The sequence below is a fragment of the Homo sapiens genome, chromosome 3 (genome assembly GCF_000001405.40).
Source record: "Homo sapiens chromosome 3, GRCh38.p14 Primary Assembly".
In the NCBI taxonomy this organism is placed as follows: Eukaryota; Metazoa; Chordata; class Mammalia; order Primates; family Hominidae; genus Homo; species Homo sapiens.
In genome coordinates, this window is record NC_000003.12 from 188,402,378 (window position 1) to 188,421,739 (window position 19,362).

Here is a 19,362-nt window from a genome sequence, read left to right on the forward strand (position 1 = left end):
CAAAGATGGTTCAATATGTAGACTTTATCAACATATTTCATTACATCATCAAATTAAGGGAGGGAAAAAGAGTTGAATGTATCAGTGGTTGCTAAAGAGGGCACTGCAGCTGTAACTAGATAGGATTTTATTCCACAAATGCCAAGATAGTTCAATATCTGGAAATCTATCAGCATGCTTCATTACATCACCAAATTAAGGGAAGATAAAAGAGATGATTGTATCAGTGAATGCTATAGCAATTCTAGAAAGATATGAGTAACTAAGAAAGAGTAACGTTCATTCATTCTCCCATTTCTATGTAACATACTTGTTTAAGGGGCTTCCTGCCTAGGCATTGTGCCGGTATAGTGAGACTAGTTGGAGTTTCCAACTTGTTGGGACATGTAGGCAGGTAAATAAATGGCTTTCTTGTGGATTGTTATAAGTATGCCGAAAGTACTAAAGAGCCTAGAAAAAGGAATTAGGCTACTCTTCCTTGGAGAAGTTAGGGAAATGTTCACAGAGTTAGAGACATTTGAGCTGAGACAATATAAAAATATAGGGCTTGGTAGAACGTGAAGAGAGGGAAACGGCATTGTTGATGGTGAACACAGCATGAGCAAGGGTTCAGAATCATGAAAACTTATTATAAATCCTGGGAATGGGGTCACTGGGTCACTGCTGACATGCAGAAGAATGGTAAGAGAAGATACTGAGGAGGACATCTGCAAACAAATGATTGGTCAGAAGATGGGCCTCTCAGGAGGAGCAGCTGGAGGTGCTTCTTCATGGAGGGCAGCATGCGGGTAATTTATGATGCTGGGGATAACTGAAATGACTGTGGAGCCAATGATTTGCATATTGATACTTACATTTTATTTATACTCTCCCAGAAATTGCCTGTTTCTTTATATCTGTGCTATATCCGAAAAGCCAAGATGATACAGTCAGTCAGTAACTTGGGATTACTATGAAAAATGTGAATCTTTGCTTAAGAAAATACTGCATCCTATATTAACCAATTTTTCAACCTTTTATTATAAAATGACTTTAGATTTATAGAGACCTTCCAAGGATAGTATTAAGCCATTTTAAAAATTATAATTAACATTTATACTACCAATGTGCATAATGCATTAAAAGTTTTAAACCTTTACTTGATCCCTTTTATTTCACACTTATATTCACTTTAGTCATACTGAAAGCAAACCAGTCACTTTTATCCCAATTTAGTAGAAGACCAAGCCTCAATTAAAAGCAAAAGCAAAACCAAAATTGGCATTTCTCAGCCATGTGAGATGGGTTTGGTTTTGGTATTTAGAAAAAAAAAATCATCTGAAGTTATTCCAAATGAACAGCTAAATTTAAAAACCACGAGTAAAACAGACATTCATTGGTAGTTTTTCTATATTGGTTTTGTGCTAGGCCTTAATGGTAGTTTATAAATGTGTAAAATATGGTCCCTACCCTTTTAAGGAACTCAAGTTTAGCAAGTATGTATGTGTCTTTGTGTGTGTGTATATATATACATGTATGTATGTGTGTGTATATATGAATATGTAAAAGGTACGGGGGAAAGAAAAAGAAAAGAAAGGCCCTGTAACCAGAGTGAAAAGCCAGTACCATCACTGGCTTCAATAGCATGTGTCCTGATTACCAGTTTAGAGTCTTTGTCATTGATTCATGTTATCCTCGTCTTTTAAGAAAACTATACATCAAGCTGTTCTTCCAAGCAAGATGGTCATAAAATTGCCATTGACTTTCTACAAGAATAGAGGCTTCTTTTTTTCTCACTTTGCATAGCACTCTATACTATAAAAAGTACTTTAATATCATCTCATTGGTTGCCATAAAAATTCTGAGAGTTAAGGAAGACAGAGGTTTATATGTTTGTTTGTTTTTTGAGAGAAGGTCTCCCTCTGTTGCCCAAGCTGGAGTACAGTGGTGCAATCACAGCTTACCGCAGCCTCAATCTCCCAGGCTCAAGTGATCCTCCAACCTCAGCCTCTTGAGTAGCTGGAACAACAGGTGTGCGCCATTATATCCTGCTAATTTTTTAATTTTTTGTAGAGACCGAGTCTCATTCTATTGCCCAGGCTGGTCTCAAACTCCTGGCCTCAAGTGATCCTTCTGCCTTGGCCTCCAAAGTGCTCGGATTAGAGGCGTGAGCCATTGTGCTTGGCTGAGTCCTCTGAGACAGTGAAACTATCTGAGGCTCTAGAGGCGATGCCGTTCAAAGTCATGCCACTTGTTGGTGGTGTGGACTGATGTGAATATCCAGGCAACACTGTTTCCCAGCTCTCCCCTCCACCCTGTCTCTCTATTACTATGCCATGTACTGAGGCCTTTGATTTCTGTGTTCTGATGCTCTTTGTCTTTACAGACATCTGGAGGTAATTGTGTAGCCCTCTTAATTAATTCAGTTCAATTAATAAATTAGTAGGTGGCTTTTGGGCTGGGGGCGCTTACAGGGTGCCTTCCGGGCGTCCCTGTGCTGGAGAGCTCTTGCAATCAGGCTTGGAGAGCCCTCCTCGGCAGCAGCCTCTGAGTCTCATCCCCAGCAGGCAGGCTGACTGGAGAGGTGATTGGCTTACCCTGACAGAGGAGACATTTCCTCTCTTCAAATATTATATGCAATCTGATCAGAGCAGCATCTGGGCTGGGCTGATTGTTCCCCTCCTAGTTTAAGCAAGCTTTTCATGAAGGTCCAACATGGTATCAGCTCAACATACAAGTTGATGGGCATTTCTTTGTTGTGCGGGGCTGACCTTTGCATTACATGTGTTGAATATTCTATCCTCCGGTCCTAAATTCTAATAATTGTCCCAGACGTTGGGGCAACCAATATGCCCCTCTTCCCCTTTTCCACATACCCCTTGGTGGGGACCAGAGCTGCTCCTGCAGATGGATCATTTAAAAGTGTCCTGCCAGGTATCTGTTAAAACCCTGTTTCCAAAATAAACTTTCAGTGGTTCCTTAATGCCTGAAGAATAAATTTAAACTCAACTGTGGCTGCTGAGCTGTCTGTGCTTTGGTTTCAACCCACCTTTTAGTTCTTTTGCTTGCTACTTTCTGTTATTCGCCCTCCAAGCACACTAAACGTAAATGCTGTGTACTTTTCTGCCTGTATAATTTTGCCAACATTTTTCAGGTTCAACCCTACTTAGCACTCAAACCCAGTCTGTATATCACCTCATCAATAAAATCTTGTTAATTCTGCCCCCACCAAGAAGTGAGCCTATCTTTTTCTGCATCTCAGCAACACTTGTTCTTAACCTCACTTAGGTAACTTAGCACTTCATTTAGGCATAACCATTTAATTGGTGAGATAATTAATTTAATAGATTATTAATAAAATTCAAGCTCTTTTCCATCCTCCTACCATAAAATCTCCTTCAAGTTAGGAACCATTTCTTATTCATATCTATTTCCCAAGAGTGGCTAGGCACTAAAATAGGTAACTATTGGAAGGGAGATATTCAAGTTTGAGGCAGTGTTCTCTTCCTGCTCCTCCTCTTTCTCTTTCTTTCTTTCTTTCTCCTTTTCCTCTCCTTCCTCCTTTTCCTCCTCCTCTTTCTATTCATGATTCCTCTGCCTCTTCATTTTTCTTTCTTCCATTTTCTTTCACCCTTCTTTCCAGAGAACTTTATCAGGATGCATTTAGTATGGATTAAGGTGAAATAGCAATGAAATGAGGAGTATTGTCTTCGTTTTCATGCTTCCATAAAAACAGTGTTTCTTTTTCATTGCAGATTCCAACAATGTCTCACCCATCTTGGCTGCCACCCAAAAGCACTGGTGAGCCCCTCGGCCATGTGCCTGCACGGATGGAGACCACCCATTCCTTTGGGAACCCCAGCATTTCAGTGTCTACACAACAGCCACCCAAAAAGTTTGCCCCGGTAGTTGCTCCAAAACCTAAGTACAACCCATACAAACAACCTGGAGGTGAGGGTAAGTGCTGGGATTTCAGAGTTGGTTACTTGGAGTAGGAAAATTCAGTTATATAGGTGATTTGTAGTACAAAGTTGTGTCAGAAAAACGTAGTTTGTGAATTCACAGCGTGGGTGTCATAGGCTACTAAAAGTAAAGGAGCCCCCGGAAATAGTCTAGACCAACCCCGTCTTTTAGGAAAAAGACTTTTTATGGGTTATATGGCTATGGTTACATAATGAAATAGGGTTAGAGCTCAAACTAGAAACCTGGCCTCTTTAGTCACAGCTCAATGCCTTTCTACTGCGTTATCTTCCACCTCCAGCTCATTCTCTTGTAGGGTTTTAGCTACCAGACAGTCATCCCTCCCTCTTGCCGTTGGACAAATGTCCACAAATGCTGCCAAGCAGTAGTCCAATCAGAAACTTATACAAAGTGAACCTAATAAAGTGCATGGAATTGTTTACCTCCTCTGGCTGTTTTTCTTCCCTTAGGCTGCTGAAGGATAAGTTGTCTAGAGTGTTCTGTGAGATCTGCATTTGTTGAATCTCCCAGACAAATATGAGTGAAGCCTAGTTCCAGGGGTTTTAATAACAATGCATTCAGTTTACATCAAGTAGAGTTTGAAGGTCTACGTGAGCTCCAGCTCTCATGTGTATGTATACACTCACACACGAAGCCTCAGAGGCAGTATAAATGGTACCATACTCTTTGGTTGAAAAGGTTCCATATTTTTACCAGTGAATGTTAGCAGCTTATTCAAACTCAAGAAAAAATAACTTAAAATAAAAAAAAAAAAAACTGAAGAATATTAGACTTCTAGGAGCTGAGAGAGAAGAGGCAGTGAAAGGAGATTTAACTCCCTTTGTTTTCTGTCCCTGTCCCACCATTAAAAAAATTATTAATATCTTACCCTCTTCATGATGTTTCCAGTTGCTTCTTGGATGACATTAATGTTTGTTTTGTCAATATTGCACGCAAGTGTTTCACACTCTGTGATATAGTCCAGTCCTCCTCTTTTCTTTCCTGTCCTCTCCTGCGCCCAGGAAACACTTTACTAGTCTGTTAGTATTTTGGGTCTGATGCCAGAAGCCTAGTTCAGATGTCTAGCTTGTGTAAGGTGAACACCTAGGTTGGGTGGTAGAGAGGATCAGGCTTCAGCATGCATGGCTAAGCTGCAGCTGTGGATCTTTGGATATCCTTTTCCTCAGAAAGTACAAGAACGAGACCCTCAGAAAGCTGCTCTTGAAAAACAATAAACGAAGCCTTTGGTGCTGTACTAATCTCTGTAGCACTCCATGATGTTTTATTGCCTTAGAAAGAGACTGCATCTTTGCAGTTAATCAAGCACTTAGTGGAACTGGCTTTCTTTGACTCATCCTTCTTTAGTGACTTCAGGGCTTGGGAATGGGATCTGGAAGAGAATCTCTCTTCATAGGGACAGGAGGAGCCATATGTTGGCTTCCTCATTTATGGTTTTTTTTTTTGTTTGTTTGTTTTTTTTTTTTTTTTTTTGAGATGGAGTTTCACTCTTGTTGCCCAGGCTGGAGTGCAATGGCATTATTTCGGCTCACTGCAACCTCCGCTTCCCGGGTTCAAGTGATTCTCAGCCTCAGCCTCCCGTATAGCTGGATTACAGGCATGCACTACCATGCTTGACTAATTTTGTATTTTTAGTAGAGATGGCGTTTCTCCACATTGGTCAGGCTGGTCTTGAACTCCTGACCTCAGGTGATCTGCCAGCCTCGGCTTCCCAAAGGGCTGGGATTACAGGCGTGAGCCACCGCACCTGGCCCTCATTTATGTTTTCAATGTTTCCCTTTGTCAGCTTACTAGGGGCATTGTTATTTTGTCTCCTAACTTTTGGGGAAAGCTTCAGTGGACCTCTCTCTAATCTGAACAGAATACAGACATGGCCAGTTATAGAGCAGAAGGCAAAGGTGTGAGGAAGTCTTTGTAGGTATGAGAGTTCTTATAGGCCTGAGCGTTATGGTGAGGGCAGGTCCTATATTAAGTGGGCTCATAAATGGCATATATGAGATAGGTAGAAGAGAAGCATATAATGGCCTCGCTTTAGACTCCTTTACTGTGAATTTGACATGCCCTCCTTGTACTATGTGTGGTTCACCCACTGTCTTACTCTCTAGGAACACTGAAGTGATTTGTTTGCGTGCCCTGCAGCACAGTCCTTGGTCCCCTCTCAACATGCCACCCCACACGTTTTTGTTACCTGAAAATTCTATTTGTATCACTTTCTCCAAAATGGCTAGGTGCAGCCTAGGTCAGAATTAATCGCTCCCTTTCCCGAGTTTCCACATCTTATTCTTTGACTTATCCAAATTTCTACCACTTTTGTTATTGCTCCTGCTTACATTCTGTCCCATATTGAACATGTAGTATATGCCAGGCTCTATGCTTTCTCTTTATTATTTTATTGCCTTCTTATGTAACCCTACAAAATGTTTTTTTTTTTTTCTTATAAAGAAATGGAAGCTTAAAGGAGGTGACATTCTCTATGATTTGCTTGGAGTATGTTTCTGAACTAAGGCTGCTGTCCATATCCAGCATGCGGTACTGCCTGTCCTTCTATTCACAGCACATGTGGCAGCAAACCCCATATTACAGTGATACATCCCTGCATCCCTTATAAGAATATATATAAGCTTTGCTTCCTCATTGAAGCAACAAGACATGGTTTCTCACTCGTCCTTATGTTCCTCATAGCTCATATTATGCTACTGTGTTTTTAGTAGGAATGGTTGCATATGGTCAAATGTATGTCTGTGTGTTCTTATGTATGCATATATATTTGGATGGCTGGCGGATGGCTGGCTGGGTGAGTGCACTGCTCAGTGATGCTTCTCCAAAGCAGTTTGGAATATGGTATAACTCAGTCTTTTGTTTTCTGAAATTTTGGCTCTCTCTTGCATTTCTGCCAATTCTCACTCTTTTTCTCTCTCCCCCTCTCTCTAAATATAATAACCTTTACCTTTTCTGAATATGCAAGAGAAGAAATTTTCCTTTAATATATAAGTTAAAGACAAATCTTGGGAACAGTTTATGGACATTCAGACTTTTTAAAATAGAAGCTACATTTCTGCATCTGCTGTATGAAACAAAGATGTATCCATGTATTTGTTGGAAGTAGATTTGCTTTTCTTTATATTTAATTTAAATGTTATCAGTGCATTCTGTTACTCTGAACATTTTTGTAACTTACATCTATTGTGTTTGTTTACACATTTAAACAATTTATAACCATTCCTTTTCGTTTCTTTTTTTCATTTAGAATGTTCTATACTCTCAGTGAAATTCCCAAGATAGTAGGTAGCACAGGTTTTATTTCCAGGATGCATTGGTGATACCAGCTTATGCTCTGTATTGCCTCAGCTCATGCTGTTTTTGGCTTTTAGAGTGTACTTGTCCCCCAGTTTCCTGCTTCTACAGTCTTTTAATTCATTGCTTAAAAGTTGACCTCCACGAAGCTCAACCACAAATGCAGAAAGTTAGAACTAATAGAAATCACGCAATCCATCTTGTTCTGACGTAAATGTGAAAACTGCAGTCTAGAGAGTGTAAGTTATTTGTTCAGAGAAGCACAGCCTGCTCTGAGCCGAGTTGGCACTCAAGTCTTTTCCCTCTAACTCTAGAGTTACCCAAACCTTGTACTATATTCTAATGGCAAACTGTTCTTTACTACCCCATACCCTCATGCATTGCCTACAATTCTTATGACAATGTGTTTTTTAATAGATTTGCTTGTATATGCACCTGTCTTCTCTAGCGGAGTCTGAACTTTGAGAGTCAGGGGCTGCCTGACTCATGCCTTTTCCCTCAACAGCACCTAGCAGGATACCTGACACATACTAGGAACTCAATAGTGTTTGCAGAACTGAATTAATTGATAAAGCACAGTAATATAAACCTACTTCTCCAGACACAGGTTCTAGGTTCTCAGCTACTTATTAGACACTGTGGTTCTGCAGTTTCAACCCACGTCTTTGCATTACTTTTCCTTCCTATGCCCATTCTTTGAACTTACATTTCTCACCTTGGTGTTACGTCTGTAATCTCTGGAGTTTGCTTTCCCATGTTTTAATTCTGACTGTGAAAGTAGAAAAATACCCACATGTTTTCCACATCAACTTATCTTTCTGGGGTACCCATATTTATAATTTCTTTTATAAGATATTCTGATAATAACCATTTTCTAAAGGGCTTTGGCACACTGAAAAGTGGGGCATGCTTTTTTTCCCAGTTAGTAGCTCTTTAGATCTCAGGGTCCTTTTATTTTACTTCCATTGTTCTCATTTCTTTTCACTGATTTTGTAACAAGTTGTGTTTTCATAGCTAACTTAGAATACCCCTACATTTCCAAATGCTTTCTCTGTGTTCAATGCTTTGTGCTTACGAACTCATACTTATTTTTTAATTAAATTTAGTCTTCTTAGAGATTTTTTTTAGTTCAATAGCTTTTGGGGAACAGGTGGTTTTTGCTTACATGGAGAAGTTCTGTAGTGGTGATTTCTGAGATTTCGGTGTGCCCATTGCCCGAGCAGTGTACACTGTAGTCTTTTATCCCTCACATCCTTCCCATCCTTCACCCTGAGTCCCCAAAGTCCATTATATCATTCTTATGCCTTTGCATCCTCATAGCTTAGCTCCCACTTATAAGTGAGAACATACAATATTTGATTTTCCATTCCTGAGTTACGTTTAGAATAATGGTCTCCAACTCTATCCAAGTTGCTGCAAATGCCATTATTTCATTCCTTTTTATGGCTGAGTAGTATCCCATAGTGTATATATACCACAATTTTTTATCCATTTGTTGGCTGATGGGTATTTAGAAGATATACAGACAATAATCATATGAAAAAATGCTCAACTCACTGTCCGGGAAATGCAAATTAAAACCACATTGAGATACCACCTTACTCCTGCAAGAATAGTCATAATTAAAAAAATAATAAATGTTGGCATAGATATGGTGAAAAGGGGACACTTTTACACTGTTGGTGGGAATGTAAACTAGTACAACTGCTATGAAAAACAATATGGAGATTCACTAAAGAACGAAAGTAGACATACCATTTGATACAGCAATCCCACTACTGGGTATCTACCCAAAGGAAAAGAAATCATTACATGAAAAAGACACCTGTGCACACATGTTTATAGCAGCACAATTCTTAAAGATTTTATAGTGTTAACTATTTCATTTTTTGTGAAATTATTTTGGTATATATTTATGATGTTGTTCCATCACTTTCTATTCTGTGTAACTGATGACAACAAGATAAGATAATGCAATTTTTCTTCTGGTCTTCAAAATACTAGCCTTTAGTGTTGTTTGTCCTATAATCTGGGTTTTCACTCTGCTCCAAATCAAAAAATAAAAAGATACAACAAACAACAACCACCCCACCCCCAAAAATAAAACAACAACAGCAATTAAACTCAGTCTTAGACTTTGATGGCAGAACAGTATAGTTCTTTTTCTGTTTTTGGTAAATAGCAAAGCAAATGAACTTTCCTACTGTACTAATATAATTTTTTAAAGATGGTTTTTGAAATTATCTTACTAATACACTCTGGGGATTAGTGTTAGGTTGCCTTTAATGGCAAAAACCACGATTACTTTTGCACCAACTTAATAACTCTCTCTCTCTCTTTCTCTGTCTCTCTCTCTCTCTCTCTCTCTCTAATTTGGCTGAATGAAATTTGATAATACTTTTTATCCATCATTAAAATAGATAATCATTTGGAAAGATTTGTAAAGTTCACGTTTGTGAAGCTGGAGTTGTCTTGTGGCCTAGAATTCACTTTCTTTAATTTCTGAAATTCTTTTTAAAAAACATTTTTATGTTAGATTTTTGAAAAAACAAATTGGCATGACATGCCAGTTCTCACTCTTTTTCTTTCTCCCTCTCTCTCTCTAAATATAATAACCTTTACCTTTTCTGAGTATACAAGAGGAGACATTTTCCTTTAGTATATAAATTAAAGACAAATATTGGGAACGGTTTGTGGCCATTCAGACTTTGGGTCTGCATTAGGTACCAATTCAACGTGATCATTTTGGTGGAATCCTTTTATATTGGTATACTCTTTTATAGTTTATTTAGCAGTTGCATGTTCATTGTCTTTTCATTTCAGTAGAAAATTCTTACTGTCACTCTCTGAGGTAGGTAGAACAGATGTTATTGTCATTTTGATGATTTGTAAGTAGTAGAAGTGGAAGAGCTTAATAAGGAATCATGTAGCTAGTAAAAGAGTAGAGGGAGACCCTCACACCTAGGGCTCTTACGAATTTTAAATGCTTTCGTTTATTAAAGCGTTGGCTACACAGTCTGATGTCTCCTTTAACTTCATTATTTTATTATTTCATGATTCTTCTTTGAAATTAATTTCAAAATGGTGACCCTTTTTACAAACCAGCTTTGTGAATATTGGTTCACATAGACTTGTCAAGATAGATCAAGATAGGTGAGGTGAATTATATTAAATAGGGATCCTAAGCCTGGATTATTTTTTTATGACATCTTTCTGTGCTTTCTGCTACTGTGAGGTTACGAATGTATTATTCCATGGAGGGGAAACAGTTATAGATGATTGCTAATCTACCCATGAGTTTGGGGCTGAATTGATCCAGAACCCAGGTTTCCTAAATGCACTCATTCAGCTGTACCACTGTGGTTTATGGGAACCAGGCAAGTTTGGAGCTTGGTTCCTAGGAACTGATGAGTCCTGGATTATTGATGCTTGGTGGAGAATTAGCCATTAGTGATGTGAAGCCATGTATCCTGGGTAGGCAGGACACATTTGTTTTCTTAGCAGATAACTAACATGTGAGGGAAATGGATGTCCACTTATGGCATTATATTTAAAGGAATAATTTAGACTGGATTTTCCCCATTATTTTTGCTGCGAACGTATGGTCCTCATGGTGTGCTTTTCTGTCTCTGGAGTCTTATTGTCCTTTTCCCCATGCAAAGAGAATCTTGCTCTGACTTTGGAGATACAAATGGGAAACATCTTTTTTGGAGGTTACAAATGGGAAACATCTTTTTGTAATCCTGACAGTCCTGTTAATTGCAATTAGAGACTGCAGTTGTAACATCTTGGACGTTTGGTATAAGTATGCGTGTTATGCCATGAGGATAGCCACAAATTCACGGAAACATCAGGAACTGTAATGAAGCTCGGGTTTGCCTGTCATGCCCCTTTTCTGGATGAGCGTAAGCATCTCGAGCCTCATCCATCACTGCACAGTGCAGTGCATGAGTTTTAATTTTCAGGTCCTCAGGGGGACAAAAGAACAAGCTGTGTATTCATTAAAGGATCAAATATTAATTGTATTAATTTGATCTTTACACTGCATCTTTCAGCAGAGAAATTAACTTGTAATTCTTGGAGTGACATCAGATCTTACCAAATATTCTTAGGCCTTATTGATGCTCAAAAGTGCCAAGATGCAGCCCTGGCTTGATGGTCAGTGCAGTTACATTCAAGCTTCAGTTTCATCACTTGGCCTTGGGCATGATGCTTTTCTAATCCATATCCTCTTTAATTCATAAAATATTAGCTGGTAATACCAACTGCCTCACAAGATTGTTTTGAAAGCCAAATATGATGATAAATGTGAAAATGTTTTTAAACCATAAAATACCTTATAACTCTAAGGAGTTACTATTATATACTTATTCAGCAGTCATTTACTTAAAACAGATTTTGTGCCAGATACTCTTCTAGGGGCTGAAGTAATGGCACTGAGTGAAACAGAGACTAGTTCCTGCCCTCTTGGGATGTATTTTCTTGCTATAATAAAAATAACATTATTAATAATAATAGTGATAACATTTGTGAAATAAAATTTATTTAATAAATGCATTTTATAACTTTACATATAATTACCAATAACTATTCAAAATTATAAAAAATACTTTAATATAGGTTAAGTAACTCTAATCCAAAAATCTGAAATCTTAAATGTGAAAAAATCTGAAACTTTCTGAGTGCTAACACAATGCTCAAAGGAAATGCTCACAGGAACATTTTGGATTTCAGTATTGTGGATTAGGGTTGCTTAGCTGGTATGTGTAAATATTCCAAAAATCCAAAAAATCTGAAATTTGAAACACTTCATGTCCCAGATGTTTTGTATATGCGATACTTAGTCTGTAGTAATGAATATGTGATAATATAAGTATAATAATAATTTAGCATGTTATCCATAAGTACTCATGTCATTAGCTTCTAACAACAGTGATAGAGATCACAATGCCTCAACACTATATAAACTGTAAAATTCTAGAACCAGGGTGAATCTTAAAAGTTATCTAATACAACCCCTTTCTTTCCTAGATGAGAATAGTTGAGAATGTATTCACTAATACATTTCAGCGAAGTACAGGTTCTTTGCCCAGGAGTGCTGTAAATAACCAATGAAAATTCTTGAATGCAGGCAACAATTTAATCTTCATTTCAGAGACTCAGAGAGGCAGGTGGCTTGTTCAGTATTGCAGATTAGTAAGTGGGGAAGCCAAGCCATGATCCTGGGGATTCCTTCTCTGGTTGCCATAGACACGTTTTGGGGGACTTGTTTAGAAGTTACAGTGATTGAACTAATATACCCGAACAAAGTGGATTGGATGTTTTAGAACAAGGAGAAGTCCCTGTATTGTTGACAGAAATCTCTTTTATTTTGTAACTTGTCAGCTTAATTAACTACTGAAATGAGTTCCTTAATAAGGTGATGGGTGCCTCCTAATTCTTGTATGGTTCAAAAACAATAATTAATGCTGATTTGTGTGGTGAGATACATATTAATCATCTTTATTTTTGAATTATACAAATATACAATACTATTGTCCCTCCGTATTTTACATCTGAAGAGAATTTAATTGCTTTTTTGATAATAAAAATAAACAGAGAGCCACAAAGAGATATCACCACACATGTATTAGAAAAGCTAAAATAAAAATTTGTACCAGATGCTGCTAAGGATGTGGAGAAATGATCTCTCACAATGCTGGTAGGCATGTGCAAAATTTTGTAGCCACGATGGAAAACTCTTTGGCGGTATTTTACAAAAGTAAACATGTACTAACCATATGACTCAGCAAATATACCCTTTGGCATTTAATCCAGAGAATCAAAATGTTATGTTCACGAAAAAACCTGTACATGGATGTTCATAGCAACTTTTTTTTTTTTATCATAATGACAAAACACTGGAAACAACCCAAATATCCTTTGATGGGCAGATGTTTCAGTGAAGTCTGGTACAGCCATACAATGGAATAATACCATTCAGCAGTAAAAAAGAATGAAGTATTGTTGGTATATGCAATAACCTGGACATGCTTAATGAAAAAACTGTCTCGAAAGGTTACATGTATTATATGATTTCATTTTAAGACAAAGCTCTAGAGATAAAGGACATATTCATGATTGCTAGGGGACAGAAATGGGTGGGTCGGGGGGGGGCAAGTACTGGTCATTCCTACAAAGAGGACGCAGCAAGAGTCTTTGTATGGGTGGAACAGATCTGTACCTCAATTGGAGTGATGATTACATGAATCTATACATGGGATAAAGTTACATAGAACTGTATGCACACACAAATCAATGCAGGTTATAAAATGGTAAAAACTGAGTAACTCCTAGTTAACAATAAGGTAACAATGTCAGTTTGCTGGGTTTTCGAATGTATTACAGCTTTATGAGCATTACCATTTAGGGAACCTGGGTAAAATGTACATGGAAACTCTGTACTATTTTTGCAACTTTCTATGAGTCCATATTTAAAAAAAAATTAATAATAGTAAAATAAAGGAATGCATATAGATATCTTAATGTATTCTTCTCTTACTCAAAGTGCTATCTTACATGCCATCTGAATTGCTTGCATGATACTTTGAAAGATCACTGCTATATGTATCCCTGCCAAAATGTATGGCTTAAACCTGTGGTTTTCAAAGCTGGCCAGTCATCAGAAAGACTTGGAGAACATTTTTCAAAAGAAAAAAATTAAAGCAAGTCCTAGGTCCCATCACAATTTTACAGAATCAAAATATCTGGCCATGGGGCCCAGGAATCTGCATTAAAACAAAGCAAAATAAAAAATAAAACAGAACTTCCCGGGAATTGTGATTGATGCTCAACCAACGTTTGGGAACCACTCATTTATTTCATTAACTTCAGGGACCAGTGCCTTAATCTCCTTTGAACCTTCTCCAAGTCCTGAGAGTGTACTCTTCCTCCCGTAGTTAATGATGGTAGCTTTTGAAGTCTTGAGAGTCTTTATCTTGTGAACATTGTACAGATTCAGAGACCTAGAGCATCTTTCATGTTGCTATTCTTTTCCCTCAGTGCTTTCATTATAGACACCAATCGTTTGCATATGTTGTCCTGGGTCATTTTATTTGGGATCCAAAACCAGAAAATTTCAAACAACAACAAAAAAATGGATTCTTCGAGAATGCCCTAGCCATGGACAAGCTTCTGCATTACAGAGCTCTTGCTATTGTGTTGCTTTGGGTAGCAATGCCTGAAATCTCAGCCAATTTTGGGTCACAGTAGGCCTATGTAAATTATCTAAAAATGGATTCATTATGGACATTATAAAAATAAATCTGACACCTGAGCCTTTGGGCAAATATACCATATAAAGAAATCATACCCTAGAATAACGATTAACCTAAAGAACTTAAAAAAAATCAGTATGATATTTTTATCATCCTTTCTTAAAATTACTGCATTCAGAGAGACCTGATGGCTGAGGACAGCACCTGGGGCAGAGGAGTATAGGTCATTGGGATGTGGCATCCTGAGTCTTCTAGCAGTTTGCTCTTCCAGCACTCTCCCTTATTATATGTTCTTTACATTGTTCTGTATGTCGCTGTCTTCAAACAGAATAGATAAGTCTACTAGTCAAGATAGACATATAACAGGCACCACATGTGCATAAAAATTGCATTATGTAAATTTAGTGCCGTAATATAATATGAAGGATGTCCTCTAGGAGGAACTGGGGAAAGCATCACAGACGAGGACACATCTGATCTGAGTGTTGGAGAATGAGTTAGTTGTTTACCAAGCAGAAAAGGGTGGTGGACAGCATGGCATGCCAAGTAAAGGGAACAGCATGTGCAAAAGCAGAGAATGGCCCCCATCCTGACCCTTGTAATTTTGGCAGCTCTTTGCTGATGTCCTCAGGCAATGCATCTGGGCTCCTGGGAATAGCTTTGCAATGTGAACAGAGTGACTTCACTATGGGTAGACCTAAATGTTCTAGCGTGCTCTGAAACTTACCTCTAGAAATAGCTCCAGGAAGTTAGGTAGCTTCAGAGAGGAAGGACCAAGAAATATGATCTTATACCACAGGCAAGAAGTACTTTCCTGGAGGTACTGGCCAGAAGTACTATTGCTATCTCTCTGCACTTGTCTGTTATATTTTAGAATGAAATGTGCCTGTGCATACAAATGCTAAGGCAAGAAAGAAAAAGCAAAAGGCAATTCTCTTTAAATCTCCTGAAATAATTTCAGGCAGCTTTTTTTACCTAGTCAAACACACACGCTTAAGAATGGAGTTGTAAGCTAACTTAATCATTTTTTGTTTTGTTTTGCTCTCTTACTTGTTCACACGTTGGGGTAATCCTGAGAAAACAGGAAGCAATGAAAGAAGGATTTTATTGTGAAATGTTCATTACAACTTGTAATTTTAAAATGTGTTTGTATGAGTGTGCACAAATGTGAATAAATTTTAGAGCACTTTCTCACATAATATCTAGTTTAATCACCAGAATATCCTGCAACGTTATTATAGTTCCTACATTATTATGGTTCCTAAAGACAAATGAAAAATCTGTGATTCAGAGACCCAAGGTTAGGCTAATAAATGTAGAAGTCACATTTGACCAAATTTTAGTATCTTCCCTTAAGTATTGGTAATGTACGATAAACACTATTTGGTAATAATGAATTATTACAATTACTAAAACAACTTATCTGGCAGAACAGTATCTTAACTATTTGAAAAATATTGTAGTGGATTTATTAGCTTCCATTTCATCTGAAGTCCACTTTGCTTTACTGCTTACTTTATCTTTCTAGCTACTCTGTAAAAAAGTTATTATCACCCTCAATCTGCCAAGTATAATGTATGTAAAGTGAAATAACTAGCATATTGCAAAGCTGGGAATTGAACCCTTGTCTCCTAAATCCAAGTCTGTAGCTGTTCCTCAGCAGTACACTGTATCTCATGTTAATGCCATTATTACTTGTATTAAATGAAATAATTTTTCCATCATTATTTTCCCGAATTATTACTATCCAGAGCGATTTGAAGGTTAAGGTCATCCAAATAATGTGTGAAAATTGCTTAAAATCAATCTCCTGTGCATGGATGTCTATGATGTATACAAATATAAAACAGCCAAAGTAGTCTCAAGAAGTTATTACCAAGTTTCTCAAATAGTGTCTCAAGGCGACATTATTTGACAAGACCTTTGGAATAACCATTTGGAATTTTCCTTAGTTCAGTTGAATTGTGTCATCTTGCTTAAACTTTTCAGATATCAGGGGTAGTTTTATTGACATTACAATGGAATTAAAATGACATTTTATTTTATTTTTTACCGTTCTATAGAAATGGCATTTTAATTCGTCATTATTTTTATTATTGATCTGTTAATGTTGTAATGACTTGGGTTTTAGTAAGGGCATCCTCTGTAAAAATTACCTCCTGGGAAAGAAATCTCCAAGTTCTATGAGGTCTCCCAGAAATATCACCACTTGAGGTGAGAGTAAAGTGTCATGAATGCCACCCAATGTGATTCCTGGTAGATAAGATTTCACTGTTTTATATCTTGACATCTGCATTAAATTCCGTTCTTTTACTGGGTCCTATTCACTTCCATCTTGTGCCATTGTTACTTAACCAGGCTCTGTAGTGGACAGGAAAAAGTAAAAACACGTCTTAGCCCTTAAACAGTTTATATTTTCATTAGAAATTCAACATATGAAAATGCCCAGTTAACTAACAATATAAAGCTTTACTGTACAGCTTCTATTTGTGAAGTGACTCCATGGCTAACTCTATCAGAAGAAAGAGTTTGCTTGGAGCCAAGGTAGTATTGGAAGGTTACAGAGAAGAAAGACTCAGGGAGGCAGTGGTTAAGCTTGTAGACTCTGGCATCAGATAGATCTGGGTTTCGAGTTTTGATTTTACCTCTTAATTCTCTGGAAACTTGGACTCACCAGGATAAGTGGCAACCTAAGTTCTTTCAGTTTTAAAATAGAGATAGTTATGCACTAGGCGTGGTGGCTCACGCCTGTAATCCCAGCACTTTGGGAGGCCAAGGGTGGATCACCTGAGATCAGGAGTTCAAGACCAGTCTGGCCAACATGGCAAAACCCCGACTTTACTAAAAATACAAAAATTAGCCGGGCGTGGTGGCACACACCTGTAATCCCAGCTACTTGGGAGACTGAGGCAGGCGAATCACTTGAACACAGAAGGTGGAGGTTGCTGTAAGCCACTGCATTCCATTCCAGCCTAGGCGTCAGAGTAAGACTCCATCTCAAATAAATGAATAAATAAAAATAATAAATAAATATATGAATAAATGAAATAGAGATATTTGTATCTTAAAGAGTTGTTTTCAAAGTTAAGTCATGACAAAATAATGACAAAATCAGTGGAAGCTGCAATCATTGTTCTTGCTATTATTATTGAAATGAAAATATGAACATTAGCTCTGAGGGTTCTATCCATAGTTTTTTTTAAAAAATTCTGATTATAAAATTTTAATTATAAAATCCCATATAGCTCATGCTGACCATTTAAAAAATAATCTTAGTTGTATCCTTGTTTCTTTTTGTATTTGCTAATAGAGATTTTAGAATTGGCTTGGTGTATGTTTGTCCTTGCTAGAATTATGATTCCTTTTTTGAATTTGCATTACACCTTTGTTAGAAGTAGAATTACTTTACTTGAACTTTGTCAATGTGGCAAAAAATGATTCATGTTTATATTATCTCTTTGAAAAGTAGTGTTTTTACTATTGAACTATAAGTACAGTTAAAATGTAAATGAACATTTCAGAAAGAAACTATTGATTTTTATTAATTAAAGAAATTAATTTTCCAAAATGTCAGTTGCTACAGAGAGATTTTAGGGATTATTAACTACACAATCTCAGAAAAATTAATTTAATTAGGGATTTTATTTTGGGTTCCATTCGTTTTTGAGATTCATATTTTGGATTAAGCCAGTCTCCTGAAATTGTATTTAAACTTAGTCTGCGTGTATGTCTTTTTTAGGGAAAGCATTCACAACACCATCAGACCCTCGAAGAGATTCTTAACTTACCCATTAAGAAAAGTAACATCTCTGTCTAGGGGTCACCAGTCTCTCAAGCCAGTTATATTGTTGCTGCTTGAATAAACAAAACAGGTTTTTATTTCTGCTCTTACCAACATTACTAGGCTGTGTTTGTAGCAAAAACTGAGTATGTGGTGGTGGTAGTAACTACAGTAGAAAGTGTAACGTGTACACAATTATATCATGATACATGGTTTTTAAACACATTTTATATATGTATATATTTAATTTATTCACACAACAAATATTTGCACATGTTGCCTGAGCTGTGCATGTGTAAGGCAGGGCATAGAAATGAATAGGGCATGGGTTCTTTCTGCTGAATTAGATGGTACCCCCTCACCCCCCATTTTACTGTTGAAGAGAGGGAAGCTTGGTGGTGAGGTGGCTTGCCCCAGACCATACAGGTAAAAAGTAGTCCAGAGTAGATTCAGGCATAACTTGTTTGAACCAAATTGTGTTCTTTAGACTGCAACATGCTTTCTGTTCCTTAGCATGTAACTATTAACCATGTATTTTTATTTATTTTTCTTTTACGTGAATTTAAAATGTCATATTTGTTCTGCTTCTATTACTGCAGTCTTGAATGATGATTCATCAGTGCAGTGGCCTATTTTAGTGAACCACAATAGCTTGGGTAGAAAGAAAAAAGATCCAACATACACAGGAATGGAAAGCAGCCATCTTTTTATAGCTAAAATTGCAAACATCTGGCAATTACTCTATTCTACCTCCCTTCAAAAAAGAAGAATCATCCCTTCAACTGGAGCCTGCCACTGTGTTTAATCAAGGCAGAAAGCAAGCCTTAAGGAGCAATAGGTTTTGATTCAAGGAGGCCATTGCCTAACCTAGTTGGCCAAAGTCTCTTCAGAAAATACCCCATTTAGTGCTCCCCATAAGCTACTGGGTTATATAATGATAGTAATGGTAATATAGCAATTAATAACTGCAGAAATCCCCTTTTGTTTTTCTGCTGTTTCATTTGTGGTGGCTCTTATGGCAGCTTTTATATTGTGAAAGTTAATTATTTTGGTCAGTTTTGCCTGTCTCCATCT

General features: G+C 37.4%; 1 protein-coding gene across 57 annotated transcripts in view; it reads left to right on the forward strand.

The window, feature by feature from the left end:
* Window positions 1–19,362, forward strand: part of LPP (LIM domain containing preferred translocation partner in lipoma) — a 737,651-nt gene that overhangs the window by 249,357 nt on the left and 468,932 nt on the right. For all 57 annotated transcript variants that reach the window (NR_164692.1, XM_047448103.1, NM_001375457.1 and 54 more), the window contains one exon: window positions 3,735–3,936. Coding sequence is in view for 56 of the 57 variants with exons in the window: in XM_047448097.1 (XP_047304053.1) it covers window positions 3,735–3,936 (202 nt within the window). In the remaining variant the exon portion in view is untranslated. The remainder of the gene's footprint in view (window positions 1–3,734; window positions 3,937–19,362) is intronic.